The 21,493-nt window shown below is 42.7% G+C and overlaps 1 protein-coding gene across 12 annotated transcripts in view; it reads left to right on the top strand.

The window, feature by feature from the left end:
• Positions 1–21,493, top strand: part of OSBPL10 (oxysterol binding protein like 10) — a 416,868-nt gene that overhangs the window by 157,201 nt on the left and 238,174 nt on the right. Inside the window, exon 1 of one of the 12 annotated variants that reach the window (XM_047447387.1) lies at positions 13,102–13,696. The exons of the other annotated variants lie outside the window; for them this stretch is intronic. The gene's annotated coding sequence lies outside the window, so the exon portion shown is untranslated. Of the gene's footprint in view, positions 1–13,101; positions 13,697–21,493 lie in introns of those variants that run through there. 12 annotated transcript variants of the gene reach the window in all.

Here is a 21,493-nt window from a genome sequence, read left to right as displayed (position 1 = left end):
TTATGTGCTGTTCCTTTTGCCTTTACTCTTACAGATGCCACTCACTTGCAAAGTCACTTAGGTTACTCTTTCTCCTACCTCCTTCAGTAAGGTTGTTTCCTACATTTGTAATACAATTAGATTCTTTTGTCACAGGCTGGGTTCTTTCCTAGGATCCCCTGACTTCCTAAATGATTCTTCTTTTCAAATTTGCATATATCCAGGTTCACTCTTTGTGTTGGACAGTTCTATGAATTTTGACAAATGCATGTCACATATCCACCAATACAGTATCATACAGAATATTTTCACCATCCTAAAAATTCCCAATGCTTCACCTGCTTATTCCTCCCTTCCTCCCCTAAACCACTAGCAACCCCTGATCTTTATAATGTCTTTATAGTTTTACCTTTTCCATCTTCTGCATTTTAAATTCTTTACACTTGAATCTCTTGAGCACCCACTGACAATGGCTGGCCAGTCAGAACTCATAGTCATTATTCTATTATTCTGCTCCTCTGGAGGGCACAGAAAGTTGGACTTCTCTTTGGAATAAAGTAGAAGATAGTTATGAAAGCTAAAATGCATTATCTTAACAACACGTCCATGTTTCACAGTCTGCACTATTAGTGCCATTATCCTCTAATAAAAAAGTGCTTTCATTCTAGTCTTCCTGTAAAGCCTGATTTGGTGGATAGATTTGCAGTGCCTGTGTTGTACTTCCTGTTTTCCTCAGCCCAGGATAGTGATTGCTATTTACTCAGCAAACAGTTTTGGAGGCACATTCTGGAAGCCATTCCTCCTGCTCTGTGAACTGCCTCCCTGGACCTTTGGTAATGATGTTTATTAACTCTGGTGATATGATTGGGTGAAAGAGACAAATCAGATCCTCACTTAGAAATTTGAATTGATGAGATAGCCGGTTGGGATGAGCACATTCCTGGAATTCTAGAAGGTGTCATCTTGGGAACTGAAACCACTATGTTCATTTCTGGAAAAACAGAGATTGGAACCAGAGGGAGAAAACACTTCCTCTCTGTTGGTTGGATTTCCAGTCTTTGCTCCAGCCCTTCCTAAGACCTGGCCACCTTCCTTGGCTCCTGTGAGATGCCTTGAGCCTCATTCAGTAAGTCACCCCGATGTATCCTCAAGCAACCAAATTAGTTTCTGTTACTTGCAATAAATAAGTCATAGGGAATTTATCTATGTTTTAAATTTGGTCTTTTCCTCTGCGGAGTGCTGTTCTAAGTGGATTTGATATGTCAGACTTATTTACATTAATACTAAAGCATTATAAAGGTCATGATAGAAATCTGTGTAAGAGGCAAAGAAAGGAGTGGTTGAGTCTACCTGAGGGCAGGAGGACACAGTCCATGAAAGAGGCGATCTTTCCAGGTGGTCTGGGCAGGGCATTCTGGGTAGAAGGTACAGTATGAGCAAAAGCCCAGCATTTGGAATCATCTTCAGGAGTTGCAGGATGTTTGACATAGGGTGTGACTGGGGGCAGTTGGTAGGCAGGTGAGATCCAGGCTGTGAGTGCCTCATGCTGTGAAGTTTGACTTTATCTTGTAGATCGAAACCACAAATGGGCTTTGGATGGGCTATTTGTGGCCTGCATATGTGTTTTGTTTTGCTTGTGCAAATGTTTTCCATCACTAGTTGCCATGATTTAAAAATCAAATGCTTTCCCTTAAACATCTGAATATGTACAAATTACCACTGTCTGAAATTTTTTGGAAGATTTATTAATAGATGGTCTAGCAGTAGTGGGCCTGCATTCCACATGGCACAGGAAATGGGGTATGTGGGCCCCTGTTGCCATGGTCTCACCTGGTCTACCCCATACACTGACTTTGCTTTCCTATCCTTATAGGCTTGGGCTGGAGGTAGTGGGGCCAGTGACTTGCTTACTTTCATTTGTTTCCTGTTTGGTCAGCAGTGGTCCCAGTGATGACCGCCTTACTATCTCATTAACCCTTTTCCTTTCTGAGGTGATTTTCCATTCCAAACTCTTTAGACACAAAACTGCTCTGGAGCCAGGCATGGTAGCTCACTCCTCAGGAGGCTGAGGCAGGAGGATCGTTTGAGCCCAGGAGTTCGAGGCTACAGTGAGCTATGATCATACCACTGTACTCTGGCCTGGGCAACAGAATGAGACCCTGTCTCTTTAAAAAAAAAAAAAAGAAAAGAAAAAACAACTCCAGTGTGTGTCTTCTAGATGTTTTTGTTTCACTTTCAGGGACTTGTCTTGCTGTCTTTTAACTTTGTCATTATTACTATTTTTTAAAGCAAAAGAGAAAGTTTAAAATACTGGCATAAAGGTTAAGTGAATTGTCATTGTGTTTTTAATAACTGAGGAGGGCTTTTGTTTGGAATGATATTTATAGTAAGTTGTTCTTTTTCAATTATTAGTTTATTAAAATAGTAAATTTTAAAACCTAGTATTTCTTGAACTTTAAGCTCAACTTGTAGATAAATTTTTATTTATAAAGTAGTAATTTTCATGTCAAAAATGGTTTCACTTATTCATTGATTAACCTCACTTAGTTTCTAAATTTAACAAATTAAAGTTATTAAGGCTGTTAGCACCACTTAAAGATTTAATCAGAGTCCCTTGATGTTTTAAACTGTAATCACACATTTTAAGTATCTGTTTCTCTCAAACACCTTAACTAAGGCTGATAACAAAACCGAGGAGCAAAGTCAGCCTCATACTTCAGCAGCTCTTGGGAATTAGTGCAGTAATCCTACTGGAAGCCAAGAGGAAAAAAGAGTGCGTTAGTCCAGTCAAGGTTACATGTTTTGAGGTATTGATTGATTGATTGTCAGCATACTAGATCAGTTTGTACCTTCCAAGGTGCTCCTTCCTATCTCAACAGCTAGTTTCTTTTCTCTTTTTGTGTTTTAAATCAGGCAGCCTCCAGAACCAGAATAGGTTCAGAGAGACTCTCAAAAGCTGGTTGCTTGATAAAAACAAAGCATACTTGTGAGTAGGAGGTTTGGGTGTCTGTAGTCTTTCAGCTGGGGGTTACCTATTTGCATAGGTTGCACTTGTCTGCAGCCAGGTGTGCTAAACTACCCATCATGTAAATTAACAGAGGCTCTTGAATGTACTTTTTTTCTCTAGTCAAGCAGTAAGGATTTATTCTTTTCATTTTTCACAACATAGCAAAAGACACCTCGTTAATAGCTTTTCACTATAAAGACTGTAAAGATTGAATTACTTTCTCATTTGGTTGGGACTCCTAGTGGAGTTGGACACTGAAATTCCTTTGCCAAGGCCCTTGGCCCCACCTCACATGAACGCTGTAACTGTCGTGTAATTTCTTGTGTGGGGCCTAGTGTGGGCACCGGTGGGATGCTGAACCCCGGCTGTGACACCGACTTTGTCTTGTCTTATTCTCCAGTGTCCTATTGACCTCCTCCTGGAATCTCATTATTGATGTGCACAAGGGAAGTAAAGTAATGCAAGGAGGCACAGCCTCACATTATTTAGAAGAAATGCTTTTGGAGAGGCTTGAAATCGATTTTTTGAAATCTAAATATTAGAACAAAAGAGATATATTTAGTCTGCATATCTTAATAGGAGTCCCGGCTTACAATAAAAACATTTATTAAACAGTTAAAGATGGAAAGCAGAGATAAGCAACCATTTTCAGGAGAGGGCCAGGTGGATGAATCAACACAATTGGTCTTTTTGGCAAGAATGTTAAAACCTGTTGGTTTTGATTTTGTTAATTGGAAACAGCGAGGGAGATTAACAGGTGCCTGAGAAGTAATTAATCAGGGATTTAGAGAGCTTTTATGTTATCAGGGAAAGGTGATTTTGAAAGTGTCCACTCCAATATTTAAGAGTACTGAGTGGAACAAACATTTACATTTTTACTGTATTGATTAGCTTACTCATTGGTGAGCCATGGACTGTGGAAAATGATCATTTGTGGGGGTGGGTGATAAAAGACTAAGAGTCAATTTAGAGTGAGGTTTGGTGCATGAAAAAAGGTGTCAGATATTTTACTTCTGACTGCTCATGAGAACAAAGGCATCATAATGCTTATAACCAACCTGTTGTTACACTTGACTCCTCTGTTTTTAGAGGCAGTGGGGTGGCCACTCACTCTACACTTGCCAAATCACCCAATTAGGAAGACAAACCAAGAAGGAACATTTTACGTGACTTTAGAATTGGGGAAATAGGTGAGTAGGAAGCTGTACAAAATATGCACATTGATTTCTGCATGTTAACTTATTTTGGGTTCTAGAATGTAGAAGCCAGTATCAGTGCATCCATGTTTGTGTGCTATAGCCTTTTGGATAGAATTTGATCAGTATCAAAATAAATACATGCATACTTATTGTACATTAATTATTTCCCTCCTGGAGACAGTGCTGGATTCTTTTTTTTTTTTTTTTTTTGAGACGGAGTTTCACTCTTGTCACCCAGGCTGGAGTGCAATGGTGCGATCTTGGCTCACTGCAACCTCCACCTCCCGGGTTCAAGCGATTCTCTTGCCTCAGCCTCCCGAGTAGCTGGGATTACAGGCTCCCACCACCACACCTGGCTAATTTTTTATATTTTTTAGTAGAGACGGGGTTTCGCCGTATTGGTCAGGCTGGTCTTGAACTCCTGACCTCAGGTGATCTGCCCACCTCGTCCTCCCAAAGTGCTGGGATTACAGGCGTGAGCTACCACTCCCGGCCTGGATTTCTCTTAAAGGGTGTTGCGTGGTTGGTTACAGATAATTTTTTTTCAACTTTTATTTTAGATTTGGAGGTACACGGGCAGGTTTGTTACCTGGGTGTACTGAGTGATGCTCACGTTTGAGGTATGAATGATCCTGTCACCTAGGCACTGAGCATGGTATGCGATAGTTTTTCAACCCTTGCTCCCTCTCCTTCCCTACTTTAGTCGCCCCAAGTTTTTATTGTTGCCACCATTATGTCCATTAGTACCCAATGTTTAGCTTACACATATAAGTGAGAATATGCGGCATTTGGTTTTCTGTTCCTGCATTAATTCGCTTGGGATAATGGCCTCCAGCTGTATCCATGTTGCTACAAAGGAAATGATTATTTTTTTATGGCTGGGTAGTATTCCATGATATATGTGTACCACATTTTATATATCCAGTCCACCATTGACAGGCACTTAAGTTGATTCCATGTCTTTGCTATTGTGAATAGTGCTGTGATGAACACCTGAAGGTCACCAGAGAATTTGAGGACAGGAGTTGGGAGGCGAAGTGGAAGGGAACAACTCCAGGAAACCACCAATAAGAGGAAATTTTATTCATGGTAATGGTTTTTTTTCCCCCCTGTTACCATTCAATGGCTATTTATTAAAAAAAAAAATGTGTTCAAAGCAGTGCACTGGATGCAGATGAGGATACGATAGAAGACAACAGGCATGGTAGTGGTTCACACCTGTAATACCTGTGCTTTGAGGCCAGGAGTTCAAGGTTACAGTGAGCTCTGATTGTGCCACTGCACTCCAGCACGGAGCTTGGGCGACAGAGTGAGACTCTGTCTCAAAGGGAAAAAACAAAACCAAACAAAACAAAACACAATAGACACATCCCCGTAAACACAGGGAGCTTATACTCTAGTGTAATGCTGTTCAATGGAACCTTCAGCAGTGATGGCAATGATATATAGGTATGTTGTCCAATATGGTAGCCAGTAGCCACATGTGGCTATTGAGTGCTTGAAATGTGATCAGCATGACTGAGGGATTGAATTTTTTATTTTATTTAATTTTATAATCATTTTAAGTTAAATAGTTGCACATGGCTAATGACTAGTTGGGCATTTGTAGTGGGTCAAGTGAGTTCTAGTTCTAGTCTTCATATTTAGAACACCTCATTTGCGGTAACTAGGAAAATTTGATACTAAAATCCAGAGTCTCGGGCTCAAATAATTCCATATACTGGGAAATCAGAGTCCCATCTTGGATATATTTTTGCTGTGACATTTCCCAAAGTGGGTTCCATGGAATGCTAGTCACATGAGATATACTGACAAAAAGAGTGCTGTGGTTAGTAAGGTTGGGAAACACTGCCTGCTGCCATATCCTTCTGGAGCTGCATAATGAATACAAGCATATTTACAGACTCTGATAAGTCACACAGTAAAGAAATTGATACTTGGTAGAGATGTATTTTGGCTCAGTTTCCCAAACTTAGTTGGCGATAGCACTCTTTTATTCACCAATACCTCTGAACACTTTTCGGGAAATGCTATTCTAGGGAGATAACTGATCTTGGTTAGGACCGTCTTAAAAATGAAAGGAAGAGGCTGGGTGCAGTGGCTCATGCCTGTAATCCCAGCACTTTGGGAGGCCGAGGTGGGTGGATCACTTGAGGTCAGGAGTTCGAGACCAGCCTGGCTAACATGGAGAAACCCTGTCTCTACTAAAAATACAAAAATTAGCCTGGTGTGGTGGCGGGTGCCTATAATCCCAACACTTGGGAGCTGACACAGGAGAATCACTTGAACCCAGGAGGCAGAGGTTTCAGTGAGCTGAGATTGTGCCACTGCACTCCAGCTTGGGCAACAGAGCAAGACTCCGTCTCAAAAACAAACATGCAAACAAACAATCAAAAAATAAAGAAGGAAGAAATGGTGGTTATAGCCTCTGGTTAGTTCTTGGTTCTCCGAGAATATGAGAGTTCTCCCATTCTCCTAGATTTTGGTGGGTTAGAGATATGACAGAATCGGGGCATAGAATTGCATATTGCACATTTGGGCACTGAAAAAACGCTTCTTGTCAGTAACAATATCTTTATTTCAGAGTTTTATATACATATATTTTGTTGTGTTCACCTTGGTTAGTCAGTTTTCTAATTGTTTCTGAGTTAGCCTGTGGTCTACAGTAGTCTAAGGTAGCCTGAATTAATACATGCACAAAGAGGTTGAATAGTTTGATTTTGCTTTTCTCCTATTTAGGTTTATAAAACTAGTACTTGGGCCGGGCGTGGTGGCTCACGCCTGTAATCCCAGCACTTTGGGAGGCTGAGGCAGGTGGATCACGAGTTCAGGAGATCGAGACCATCCTGGCTAACACGGTGGAACCCCATCTCTACTAAAAATACAAAAAATTAGCCAGGTGTGGTGTTGTGCGCCTGTAGTCCCAGCTACTCGGGAGGCTGAGGCAGGAGAATCGCTTGAACCTGGGAGGTGGAGGTTGTAGTGAGCTGAGATCGTGCCACTGTACTCCAGCCTGGGCGACAGAGAGAGACTCCATCTTAAAGAAAAAAAAAACAAAAAACAAAATAAAAAAAAAAACCTAGTACTTCTGTGTCCATTTACACTTTCTGACTCCCTTTACAAAAGCCTACAGGGTCTCCAGGGGTGGTATTATAGTCCCCTCATTTACTTGGTATAAATTAAAAGCACAGAGTCTATTATATATCAACCCCAAATGGCATTTTAGAAATTCCAGTTAGATTGTATTATAAATCAGTTCTTATGCTGTTATATATGCGGGTGTGTGGGTATATGTGTGTGTGTATGTACAAACACAAATAAGATCTCTAAGCTTGCTAATGCCTTACTTAACAATACAACTAGGCTGGACTCAAGGTTATTCATATAATAATGCCACCCTTGCTCACCTTCTGCAGTACTTTCTTGAGCAGCAGAGAAGGAAATGGATTGAGCAGGCCATGGGAGTGGATCCTGCTGCATCCATCATGCTTGTGAGCTCCATCCATCATGCCTGCTGTGGCAGGAAAAGGCTCAGAGCTGCTGGGTAGTGTATCTTCCAAGGTCCCTTTCAGTGCCGAAATTCTATCACTCTACGACAGCTTTATTGAGGGTTTCCATTGTAGTGAAGGCGCATTGTAGTCTAGCTGAAACTCTAGCATCAAAGGAGAGACATGCTCAAAATACTTCAAGGCTTCAAGAGGAAATGTTGATGATGAAGTTGATTTTTGGCCTTATAAGAGGGCGAGAGCTTCTTGGGTGCCTTAACTTACCATTTCATTCTAAGAGTTTAGAAAACACTGCTTGTTTCTGCCATTTGGAACTTCTCAATAACCAGTACTTCCTCAACTTTACTAATGTCCGCCCCCCGACCCCGTGACTATCACTATTTTGCCTTAATTTTTTTTTTTTTCCGAGACAGAGTCTCGCCCTGTCGCCCAGGCTGGAGTGCAGTGGCGCAAATCTCGGCTCACTGCAACCTCTGCCTCCTGTGTTCAAATGATTCTCCTGCCTCAGCCTCCCGAGTAGCTGGGATTACAGGCATCCACCACCACGCCCAGCTAATTTTTGTATTTTTAATAGAGACGGAGTTTCACCGTGTTAGCCAGGCTGGTCTCAAACTCCTGACCTCATGATCTGCCTGCCTCGGCCCCCCAAAGTTCTGGGATTACAGGCGTGAGCCACTGCGCCCAGCCAATTTTTTTTTTTGATTTAAACATTGTTTTATTATGGTAAAATATACATAACAAAATTTATCATTTTAACTGTTTTTTTCGGCATACTGTACCGTGGCATTAAGTACATTCACATTGTTTTGCAACCATCAAAATTACCATTTTTAATCAATGCTTGTCTGCATGGAGGATTAGGGGAAATTTCCTGTTGGGGCCTGACCTTCCAGCACCTGCCTGTACTAGTTAGTTGAGACTGTTATTCATAAGCAAGACTTGCCAACCCAAGTTGACCTCTTTCATAATATAGCTAGACTTATGGAAGGAGAATGACTAACTTTTGCATGTTCCCTGCTTGAGGCCACTTTCCTTCCGAAAGGAGGTGAAAGAAAGTTGTAGTGTGAGCTTGTCCAGCCTTCAGCTTGTGCTCTGCCTGTGGCCCAGGACAGCTTTGAATGCAGCCCAAAACAAATTTGTAAACTTTTCTTAAAACATGAGTTTTTTTTTTTTTGAGATTTTTTTTTAAAGTCCATCAGCTATTGTTAGTGTTAGTATATTTTATGTGTGGCCCAAGACAATTCTTCTTCTTCCAATGTGGTCCAGGGAAGTAAAAAGATTGGACACCCCTGTTGTAGAGGGAATGTTGAAGGTATTACCCCAAGCTTAGTGGTGTTTCGCCATTCCCCTGAGGGTATCTGGAGATTTCTGAGAAAGGGACAAAATGCTCAGAACCACCAGCGGCCACTTCCCATTCCACTCCTCCACCCCCATGAGAGTAGCTTTAAGATTAACCATCCCACTGTTTTCTTTATACATAAAGTTTCGTTGGGACACAGTCATGCCCATTTGTTTACTCTGGTCTGTGGCTACTTTTGTGTGGTATCAGCAGAGTTGAAGTTGAGTAGTTGGAACAGAGACTGCAATGGCCTACTGAAGCTAAAATATTGACTTTTTCCCCTTTTCCAGAAAAAGTTTGGCAACTCTGTAGGCCCTGAGCACCCCTGGCCCTGTGTCTTCTTTAAGTTCCCCCTCAAACAGGGTCTGAAGCAGGATGGACTTATCTGAGTACTCTGTGGGTGTCGCATTTAATATGGAACCCTGCCCTGGTGTCCTGAAAGGCTGGGCTGTGGAGATGAAAAGAATCAAAGCAACAGCCCAGGTGTGGCAGAAGACAATGTTCTTTTATTCTGGACCATGCTTGAGAAGACAGCCTGCTGGGTTACATAATGATTTGAGTAAAGGAAGTAGGGGGTCCTTTAATTCATGAAGTAGTTTATTAGGAAATTAATTTAAGTATGCTATAAATATTTGTAAGTTTGGGAGACTCATGGATTTGGTTAAAGGAAGCGGCGCCATTTGTTAAATTTTACTCTGGAAGCTTGAGGGTATGTCAGTACAGCCTTTGATTTGTCATACATTCCATTTGCCAAGAAGTCCAACTGAGGAGACTCTCTGGCTTCCCAGACTCTGAATTCTTTTATTTTTATTTTTATTTTTTTTTTGAGCTAGAGTCTCACTCTGTCCCCCAGACTGGAGTGCAGTGGCATGATCTTGGCTCACTGCAACCTCCACCTCCCAGGTTCAAGCGATTCTTCCACCTCAGGCTCCCAAGTAGCTGGGATTACAGGCGCGTGCCACCAAGCCTGGCTAATAACTTTGTATTTTCGTAGAGACAGGGTTTCACCATGTTGGCCAGGCTGGTCTTGAACTCCTGATCTCAGGTAATCTGCCTGCCTCAGCTTCCCGAAGTTCTGGGATTACAGGCGTGAGCCACCGCGCCCGGCCCCCTGACTCTGAATTCTGCCAATAGGTTGTCCTTTACTGAACCCCATGTCCCTCCTGTTTAAAGGCCAGGAGATGGCTAGGTGCACTGGCTCACACCTGTAATCCCAGCACTTTGGGAGGCTGAGGCGGGCAGATCACAAGGTAAAGAGATCGAGACCATCCTGGCCAACATGGTGAAACCCTGTCTCTACTAAAAATACAAAATTAGTTGGGCATGGTGGCGTGTTCCTGCAGTCCCAGATACTCAGGAGGCTGAGGCAGAAGAATCGCTTGAACCCAGGAGGTGGAGATTGCAGTGAGCCGAGATTGTGCCACTGCACTCCAGCCTGGTGACAGAGCAAGGTTCCATCTAAAAAAAAAAAAAAAAAAAGGCCAGGAGACAAGGATGCAAAATGATTGTCTTACACAGCGCCAGTGTAGCCAGCCTCTTGGTGCTCCAGGATTTAGGCATCTTAATGTCTTTAATTTCTTAAATGTGTATGTGTTTAACATTTTTAAAAAAATGGTGTTAGGGGGTTTGTTTCAAAGCTGCTACTCAGAGTGGGGGCCATTCTAGTAGATTCATGTGGGTTCCTAAAGGCAAAGTCGCATGTGTTTCCCATGGGATGTGAAGAACGGCCCTGGAAAGAAAAGCTGATGTGGTCGCTGAGGGTTATGTCAGTCACAGTGCACTCGCTTGATCTGAAATGGAGGGAAGTGAAATCGTTGGGGTGTCCAAGTGGCCGTACTGACTTGGTGAGTTACTGTGGAAATGTTCATTTGCACTTTTTTGCTAATGAAATCATTTGCTGAGAGATGGCAATTTAGTGAGAAGTTCCTTCTCTCCCCCTTTCTTTCTTTTTTTTTTTAAACGTTGAGCCCTACCAGCAATAGCTTTCATTAGCCACAAGAGTCATGGAGTTAATGGAATCTTTCATTTTCCGTTATGCCAGCTCCCTTTCCCAAAACTAATCTTCAGGTGCCTTAAGAGACAGCCTCAGAGAATGAAAGGCAGAAGACCAGAAACCAAATCATATTGGTATTCTGGTTGAATGCTAATATATTTTGGTGGAGGTCATTATTTAGAAACTATAGGTCTTGGTGATAAAATTACCGATGGCCTTAACAGTTCCAGTAGAAAGGAGAGTGTTACAGAAATATAGCTTTGAGAGACCACTGGAGGGCCAAGGCCAGCCATCTGAAAGGTAATGTCAGCTCTCAAGTTCTTTACTTTGCTCATTAACCTCTAGGTAGTTTTCCCTTAGCTCAGGCTATGGATAAAGTAAAAAGACTTAACACAGTCATTAAGAATTCTGACGAATGCTAGCTATGTTTTAGCATTTTATTCTAAGACACTTCTTAGCTAAATGATACTTCTCTCCAGTGACCTAAAGTTAATGGTTTCAGAAGGCCCTTGACCTGGCTCTGCTTCCTGTAGAAATGATTTCAAGGTTTCCAATTGGTTACTAATCACTAGTTAAGTGAAAGCCAAATAAAACAATGCTACTTGCAGTTCCCCAGGGGGAGCCGCTCATCTCCTCTTTCCATCTCATTGCCTGAAAGTGCTGCCATCATCTGTAGGAGATCAATATCTCCAGGTACTTAAAAAATATCCTGGCCTATGGAAATGGACTGTTATATCAGGGAATTGGCCGACACAACCCAGGGAATCACAGAATGTTTAAAGGCAAGCAAACATCCTGAAGTAATAGGAAACCAAAGTCAATGATGTTTTTTCCTGTCCAGTAGTTTCCTTAACCTCATCCTCACTAGTGAACTACATCCGACACAATTAGGGCATTTACGTGGCAAAAAACACCTGGCACCATTGTCCTGGGCTGGCCATCTTGCCTCTAGATCAGCTGGTAGAGCAACAAGTTATCAGGCTGCAGGTGCAAGAGAAGGGGGTGGCTCTTCCAGTTGTGTTGGAAAAAATTAAAAGGTAAACTTTTCCATGTGACCAATCTGCACAGGTTCTGTGCTCACATAAATCTCTGCCTAGACAATTATACTAAGCTCTTAGTGGATCCCCCTTTCTCCACCCACCCAAGCATCATTCTAGAGTGAGCTGCTAGTGTCATGTCTTTGCTCAGAGCCCTCCTGGGGTCTCCCTTTATATCTGGAATCAACCCCCCAGTCCCTATCATGCCTGCAAGGTTCTGTGTGATCTGGCTCTGGTTCCCTTCATCTCCCATCACTTCCCCCTTGTTCACTCCACCCGTGTTGCACTGGCTGTTTCTCCAGCACACCAAGCCTGCTCCCACCTCAGAGTCTGTATTTATTGCCTGAAACACAGTTATTTTTACCGCCACCATGCTTTACCCTCTTCCTTCCAGTCTTTGCTCAGAGTCACCTTACAGACAGGCCTTCCCTGACCCAGTGAAGTTAGAACTGCTCCTCCACCGCAGCCTTTTCCCAGCCTCCAACACTGTAGCCTGTTTTATTTTTCTCTAAGCCACTTATGGACACTTACTATGTTTGTGTATATGTTTATAATTTATTTCCCACCCCTAGAATATCAGTTCCACAAGGGCAGGAATGCTTATCTGTTTCACGGATTGTTCTATTCCCAACATCTAGAGGAGTCTTTGGCAGTGAATATCAACAAGTATTGAATAGGGAACCTCATAATTTAATAAAATAAACTATAGACCAAAAATTCAAGTATCTGGTCCTGGTCCTTATATGAACTAGTTATGAGACAATGGAGAGATCACTTAAATTTTTTTTTTTTTTTTTTTTTTTTTTTTTTTTGAGATGGAGGTCTCACCCAGGCTGGAGTGCAGTGGTGTGATCTTGGCTCACTGCAACCTCTGCCTCTTGGGTTCAAGTGATTCTCCTGCCTTAGCTTCCCAAGTAGCTGGGATGATAGATGCCCGCCACCATGCCTGGCTACTTTTTGTATTTTTAGTGGAGACGGGATTTCACCATGTTGGCCAGGCTGATCTTGAACTGCTGACCTCAAGTGATCTGCCCACCTCGGCCTTCCAGTGTTGGGATTACAGGCGTGAGTCACCGTGCCCAGCTAGAGGTCACTTAAATTTACCAGTCTTACTTTTCTTACAAGTAAAATGCAATAAAGAATACCTGCCCTATTTTTAAGACGACAAAATAAGATAATCAGATGAGTATGCTGGAAGCTCTGTGTGTTGGTCCGACCTAGAGTTCTTTTTTGGTCTGATACCATGGGGCCTTTGCATATAGCAGATCCTCAAAAGCCATTGGCTTGCTATTGCTTTTACTCCCTGGTCACAGACCTTGTGATGGGTCTGTGCATCTGTGTATCTGTGCATCATTGCATCTGGGGTGTGACCTATGACCTAAGGGAGACCTTTCAATAAATTATGACATCAATAATTCAGAGGCAGACTGTGTAATTTCACTGCTCCCGAAGGCTGGAGAAATGATCTGCTTTCTAGAGCCATAAAAGTTCTCTTAACATAAAACCTTCTACAGAAATGGGTTTCACAGGCAGGCTGTCTTCAGTGACTTCAGTGACAGTTTTTCAAAATCAAGTTTTACTTCAGTCAGTTTTCTGTTAGCCATGGATGATCTAAAAACATAGTTGTTATCACCAGGTACAACCTCTTTTATCTTGAAATTTGAATCCAATCCACTAGTGGTCCACCATGCTTGGCAGATTTGGTTCTCACCTTTTCTTCCTGCTCAGAGGAGAGGAGTAGCCAGTGTGGGAGGAGGATTAGAGGGTCAGGATGGCCTGAAGATTAATTCATCAACATGGACCTAATTCATCAAATCCTGATTGATTGGGAATTGGTCATTTTGCTAGCTGTATATATTCATAAAGTACCCAAAATGTCCCTGGTTATGGAGAGTAGTTTTGGCTTTAAAGAGCTTTATGTGCTGGTAGTGATAATAGATAGGGAGGATGATAATGAAAGGATACATTTCTATTTAATGATCTTTTGCCCTGGATCTGTTAGGGCAAACTTCCTCCATATGCACAACACTATGCCAAGCCCAGAGCTATGTTTAATCGAGTGATATAATGTCAAAGGAATTTCTAGTTTAATTGGCAGAGATACTCATAATATTATTGATAATAACAGTAGGAGGCCAAAGGATTTCCCAGTTTTTTTTGGCTCTAGTCTGCTTGTGGGAGAGTTGAAGTGGGTTATATATACTTTGTGAAAAATAATTTAAGAGGTAGTTGTGGGGTTGGTGAAGAACAAAGTGAAAAGGGGTTAGTTTTTTGGTTCCCTGATCGTGAAATAGATTGCTTTGTTTGTTCTTGCTTGGCAAATTGAAATGGCAGCAGAGCCAACTGAAGTGATGGACACTGACTATGGTGTTGTTTGTGGAATCGAAGAAACTTAGCAGGAGACACTCCCCAAACTCATATTCCTTCTACAGGAGAGTAGATTAATAAGGTTGAATGTGGTGACTGTTGCTCAAAATTCAGGCTGGATCTGAATATATATTTGTTCATCTGAGGAGAACACACTTTTTTTTTTTTTCCTTCTTTGAGGTGATGGGAATAGAATAATTAATCAAGTGATAGGTTTTTTTTTGTCAGGGAATGTTTTATTGTCTTGCTAAGAAGTCTTATATTTTTTTTTCTAGAGTGGTATGATGGATATTTCAAGACAGATTTGAATAATATCATAGTCAATGCTTAGAATTCAGTGATGTTTATTAATCTTTGTCCTCCTCTCTCACTAGGCCTTAATCTTGTCTATTGTGATGAGAATTCACTAGGTTCTGGCTGGGCACAGTGGCTCACTCCTGTAATCCCAGCACTTTGGGAGGCTGAGGCAGGTGGATCACTTGAGGTCAGGAGTTCGAGAGCAGCCTGGCCAACATGGCGAAACCATGTCTCTACTAAAAATACAAAAATTAGCTGGGTGTGGTAGCGCATGTCTGTAATCTCAGCTACTCAGGAGGCTGAGGCATACGAATCACTTGAACCCGGGAGACGGAGGTTGCAGTGAGCCAAGATTGTGCCACTACACTCCAGCCTGGGTGACAGAACGGGAGTCCGTCTAAAAAAAAAAAAAAAAAAAAAAATCACCAGGTTCCTTGACATAGAGCTCTTTGTGGAATGCCATGTGCTCTTTGACATATTGACAAGTTTGATATCATCGTGTGACTTGAGGACTAGGAAATCACAGCTCATATGTATTTATGCAGAATGTGATCACAAACTCATGCCCCTGAAAAATTAAGCTTTCTATGTAGGCAAGACAGTGATTTTGTTCAGAGTAATTGGTATTTCCTTCATTTATGTTATTAATATTTGACAGACATATTATACTTCCTGTGTGCCAGATACTATTTTAAGCATTTTACAAATAACTTACTTCACCCTCATTGAAGTCCTGTGAGGTAGATACTTCTATTACTCGATTCCTTTGTTGCTTATACTTTTGTTTTATATTCCGGTGGCAGCCTATAGGCAGATGCTTGTAGCTGCCTCCAGTTTAAGAAAAATTCCTTGGAGAAAACCTCAGCTCTGCCTCATAACTGATGCTCTCCTCTCCCAGAAAGTTGGGAAAGTTCCACCTTGATTTGAACTCGCTGGCCAAACACCAGCTATCTCTGTAGACACAGATTTTGACAGGTTCAGACCCAGATTGGAAATGATTTTGATTCAGGTTGCCTTTGAGTCTGTGGAGAGTCAGAGTTTATGGCAATTTCAGCCCGCTCTATCCTCTGTTTGGGATTATGTGTTCCCAGAGAGTAAACTGTGTGGCCCCAGAGTCACCCTAGGAGGATCTGAGTGACCCTGGGTTTTGTGTTTTTACTCTGTGGATGTTGTGGTCACGCTGGATCATGTTGTGTGGAGGCTTGGGAGCATGTGTTGGAGGAACAGTTGAGATTTTAATTTTATTTTTGGTGGCTTTTTTGGTACATCCAACCCTTTCAGGTTAATTAAATGCCAGGTAGAGCTAGCCCACAAGTGGATTTTGTTTTGAAAATGTGCCTGTTTTCCAGGAGCCCTTTGTGGCAGCCTGGTCTGGTTGCCCAGATATCATTTTGGCTTCTTGGTGCCTTAGTGCCTGGGATGAATTGGCCTGCCTGCTGCAGTCTCTTCTCCTCAGCCCTGATATCCGCCAACTGGGTGGCTTTGATGCCTCTGCTGAGGGCTCTGGTTTCCTGCCAGTCTGGGAGGCGTGGGATCTCATGCGTGGGAAAGGTAATCAAGCAATAAAACTAAGCCTGGGTGTGAGAGGTGGATTAAAGTGGGCAAGGAAGAAGCAGGGGAGAGGGAGGGAGCCAGCTGTCCAGAGTGGCCGGAAGAGGCAGAATGTGGGCTCCATCCTGGCTGGGACCTGTCAGCCCTTGTGAGAACTTTTAGGGCGGTAGTATTATAGTTTGGATTTTCCCCATTCATCTTCTCTCCTTCCCCTCTCCTAGGTTTTAGCTGCCCACAGAATCCTTTGAGGAGGTGATTCCTGGAAACCTGTGTTCACTGGATTTAGTAGAAATCCACCTTGACTTCCTGTTGAATATTTGACATGTCCTGACAAGTGTTTCCCTCCCATCCCCGCAACCCCGTCACCCTGCTTTAACAAAAAGCTTCAAAGTTGAGACCCTTTGCTCTGAGGTAGAAGATTTTATATACTCTTATTTTTCAGAAAAGGGCAGAATAATGCAGTAGTTAGGAACACAGCTCTGGGGACAGATTGCCTGGGCTCCTATTGCCTCTGCTGCTGATTGGCTGTTTGACTCTGATGAGAGATCTCTGTGTCTCGGTTTCCTCATCTTTAAAAAGGGCTAATAGCTGAGCATGCTGGCTCATGCCTATAATCCCAGCACTTTGGGAGGCTGAGGTGGGAGGATTGTTTGAGTCCAGGAGTTTGAGACCAGCCTGGGTAACATAGTGGAACCCTGTCTCTACAAAAGAGTTTTTAAAGATTAGCTGGGTGGTGTGGTATGGCCTGTGGTCCCAGCTACTCAGAAGTCTGAGGTGGAAGGTTTGCTTGGGCCTAGGGGGTCAAGGCTGCACAAGCCTTGGTGTTGTGCCACTGTACTCCAATCCGGGCAACATAGTGAGACCTTGTCTAAAAAAAAAAAAAAAACCTAAAAAGCAAAACAAAACAAGGGATTATAATAATGCCTCCATCATAAGGTTAGGGAAATATTAGCAATTATTAGTTTCTCTGCCTTCTCTATTCTCTATAAAGGGTCCTTGAGGTGAAGGCATGAATTTTTGTTATGTTTTCCCACTGTTGTATTCCTGGCACCTAGAATAGTGCTTGGTACTTAGTGCTTAGTATATCTTTTGAATGAATAAATGTAAGAAAGACTGTGCAAATGCTATTTGCTGTGGCCTCTTGTTTATCCTGTGTCTTTTGGACTATAGCAGGGATGAAGGAGGAAGGAAGGGCATGGGACTGGCAATGTCAGAAAAGTGCAAGAATGAATAAATCCTCTGTCTTTCTCCATGCTTTCAGCTTTCTGCATTGTTGAGCTGGCTGTTCTTCCTCACTGCTCTCTTTGGAATCAGACTCCATAGAAGGGTGAGCAGGGTGAAACAGGTGCCTGCTGGCCACTGACTTAGGGGCTACATTAAGACTAGCAGGTTTGGGAGGCCAAGGCGGGTGGATCACGAGGTCAGGAGATCGAGACCATCCTGACTAACACGGTGAAACTTGGTCTCTACTGAAAATACAAAAAAAATTAGCCAGGCGTGGTGGCGGGTGCCTGTAGTCCCAGCTACTCAGGAGGCTGAGGCAGGAGAATGGCGTGAACCTGGGAGGTGGAGCTTGCAGTGAGCCGAGATTGCGCCACTGCACTCCAGCCTGGGCGACAGAGCAAGACTCTGTCTCAAAAAACACTGGCAGGAAGGCTGGGCGCAGTGGCTCATGCCTGTAATCCCAGCACTTTGAGAGGCTGAGGCAGGTGGATTGCCTGAGGTCAGGAGTTCAAGACCAGCCTGGACAACATGGTGAAACCCCGTCTCTACTAAAAATATAAAAATTAGCTGGGTGTGGTGGCAGCCACCTGTAATCCCAGCTATTCGGAAGGCTGAGGCAGGAGAATCGCTTGAACCAGGGAGGCAGAGGTTGCAGTAAGCCGAGATGGTGCCACTGCGCTTCAGCCTGGGCGACAGAGTGGGACTCCGTCTCCAAAAAAAAAAAAAAAAAAAAATACTGACAAGAAGCAGCCTCTTAGTACTGTATATGTGCCAGGTCCATCTTTAAGGTGCTATATGTGCATTAGCTTGTTTAAACCTTAGCACAGCTCTGTGAAGTGAGATCTTCTTAGCCCCATTTTACAGACCGGAAACAGGCACTGAGAGGTTAAGTGACCTGTGCAAAATCATGCAGTATTATAAATACTTATTAAATGCCCTTTTTTGTTTGGTGCTTTTGTTTTTTGGAGACAGAGCCTCACTGTTGCCCAGGCTGGAGTGCAGTGGTGCAATCTTGGCTCACTACAACCTCTGCCTCCTAGGTTAAAGTAGTTCTCCTGTCTCAGCCTTCCAAGTAGCTGGGACCACAGGTGCGCGGCACCATACCTAGCTGATTTTTACTAGAGATGGGGTTTTGCCGTATTGCCCAGGCTGATCTTGAACTCCTGAGCTCAGGCAGTCCGCCCGCCTTGGCTTCCCAAAGTGCTGGGATTACAGGTGCGATTGGCCTAAATGCCCTTTTTGTACCAGGCATTTGTGCTAGATACCGAGCAGCCAGCAGTGAAGAATCCTGATGTGGTTCCGCCCTGAAGGACATGCAGTCTAGTGAATGTGTGGATGTTAACAAATAATCCCACAAATAAGGACACAGTGATGACTTGTGAGAAATGCGAGGGAGGCAGTGTGCTATGGGGCAGAGTGACAGGGAATCTGGTATGAGAAAGGGAAGACTTTGCTCAAGGGCAGGCCTTTTTCAGCTGGGATCTGAAAGCACAAGTAAGAAGTAGCCAGACCAAGAGTAGGGAAGAGACTTCCAGACAGTGGGATCAGGATAGGTGAGTGTTCTGAGGCAGGAAAGTGGGGGCATTGGGAAGATGGCCACTGTGGCCAGAGCAGGCGGAATGAGCAGACTGCAGAGGTGAGCTGAGCTACATCATGTAAGACCTGTAGGCACACTTAAGGATTTTGGATTTTGTCTTGAATGCAATGGAAGCCATTGAAGGATTTTAATTAGGAGTGCAAGGGGATCTCATTTACATTTGTTTGAAAAACCTTTATGTCGAGTAGAGGGAGATGATTAGAAGTGAGTGAGAATGGATGTGGGGAGATCAGCAAGAAAAGTTTATGCTTTGACTACAGGATTTAAAATGTGTATCCAAAATTCATATGGTCTCTTCAATAGATGCTGAAAAGACATTACATAAAAGTCAACATCTATTTTCGTTTAATGTCTTGTTTTGAAATATTTTTAGATTTACAGTAGAGTTGCAGAGATAGAGTGTTCTCACAGCATTTTCCCAGCTTCCCTTAATCAAATTTATTTTTCATTAACACTTTAATAAATTAGAAATGGATTTTTCCTTATTATAATGAAGACTATCTGAAACCAACAGCTAACATCATACTTAATGGTAAAAATACTTAGAAATGTTTCCATGTAAGACAAGAGTAATACAAAGTTTCCTGCTCACTCATTTCAGAACATTCTGTGCTTTGCAGTAAGGCAGGAAAAGGAAATCAGAAACAGAAAAAGTGATCCTCCTCAATACCTATAACATCCAAAGAGTTAATTGAATTGAAAATCTAACATTGATGCAATCAGTGGAATGGCAAAAGTACAAAATAAATATCTAAAACTCCCTTCTAGAATAAAGACAAAGTAATTGCTGTTACAACAACTGACTGCAGTGCCTTTGGCCCCTAAATCATGTAATTTTCCTCTTGTAGGACAAGCCTGAGAAGGGGAGAAATGTGAAGAGAGGTCTTGGGGAACAATGGGTCTTGTCTGAGGAGAGGCCAGGGGTTTAATAGGAGACAAATAGTGAGAAATTAGTCATAGTGGGCACAGCCAAGGGACCAAGGGTTGGAGCTTTTATCAGGAACAGGGCTGCAGAACAAGAAGGGGCAATGATATGGTAAATGGTTTGTTTTTTAAAAGTTTCATTCTCGGCTGGGTGCGGTGGCAGCACTTTGGGAGGCCAAGGTGAGTGGATCTCTTGAGCTGAGGAGTTCGAGACCAGCCTGGGCAACATGTTGAAACCCCATCTCTACAAATGAAAAACAAAAAAACAAAACCCACAAAAATTAGCCTGGCATGGTGGCGTGTGCCTGTAGTCCCAGCTACTGGGGAAGTTGAGGTGAGGATCACTTGAGCCTGGGAAGTCAAGGCTGCAGTGAGCCTTGATCTCACCACTGCACCCCAGCCTGGGTGACAGAGCCAGACCCTGTCTTAAAAAAAAAAAAAAAAAAGTTTTATTTTCTAACCATGTTTGTAAATAAATATGCAGTTTTAAAAACAGCTTAATCTTCTGCAAAGTTGGTTTCATAAAAGTAAAAACAGCTTAATCCAGTATATTACTAAGGTGCTTTTAATTGTAGTTATTTTCTGTAGAATATTTTCTATGCTGGGACCACAGGTGTGTGCCATCATACTCAGCTAATTAAAAAAATTTTTTTTGTAGAGGTGGGGTCTCACTCTGTTGCCCAAGCTGGTCTTAAACTCCTGACTTTAAGCAATTCTCCTGCCTCAGCCTTTCAAAGTGCTGGGATTATTGGCATGAACCACTGCACCTGGCTGAATTTTTCTTTCTTTCTTTTCTCTTTATTTTTTAAAGAGATAGGCTCTCCTATTTGCCCAGGCTGGTCTCAAGCTCCTGGGTTCCAGTGGTTCTCTCACCTCGGCCTCTCAAAGTGCTGAGATTACATGCATGGTGTTCAGATTTTTTAAAACATCTGTTTAATTTGCAGTATCTGTTGTTTAACTGGCAAGTTTAATTCATTTATATCATTTGTGATTAATACGTTTGGACATGTTTGTGCCATTGTAACCACTGATTTTTATCTGTCCAGCTTTTTCTATGTTTCTTCTTTCCACCCCACCCCATCTTGTATTTTTGGAGGATATATTGCATTTTTATTCTTTTGTTTATATTCTATTTTTTTCTTCTTACTCTTTTGGAATTTATGCACTATATTTTCTATTGGTTTCCCTTGAAACTTTACCATCCATATTAAGCTTTAAAAGGTTTGAAGTTGGCTGATGTGGTGGCTTACGCCTGTAATCCTAGCACTTTGGGAGGCCGAGATGGGCGGATTGCCTGAGCTCAGGAGTTCGAGAGCAGCCTGGGCAACACGGTGAAACCCCGTCTCTACTAAAATACAAAAATTAGCTGGGCATGGTGGGTGCGCCTATAGTCCCAGCTACTTGATAGGCTGAGGCAGGGAGGCAGAGGTTGCAGTGAGCCAAGATCATGCCACTGCACTGCAGCCTGGGTGA

Source organism: Homo sapiens, chromosome 3, assembly GCF_000001405.40.
Source record: "Homo sapiens chromosome 3, GRCh38.p14 Primary Assembly".
Taxonomy (NCBI): Eukaryota; Metazoa; Chordata; class Mammalia; order Primates; family Hominidae; genus Homo; species Homo sapiens.
This window is presented reverse-complemented; position numbering and strand designations above follow the sequence as displayed.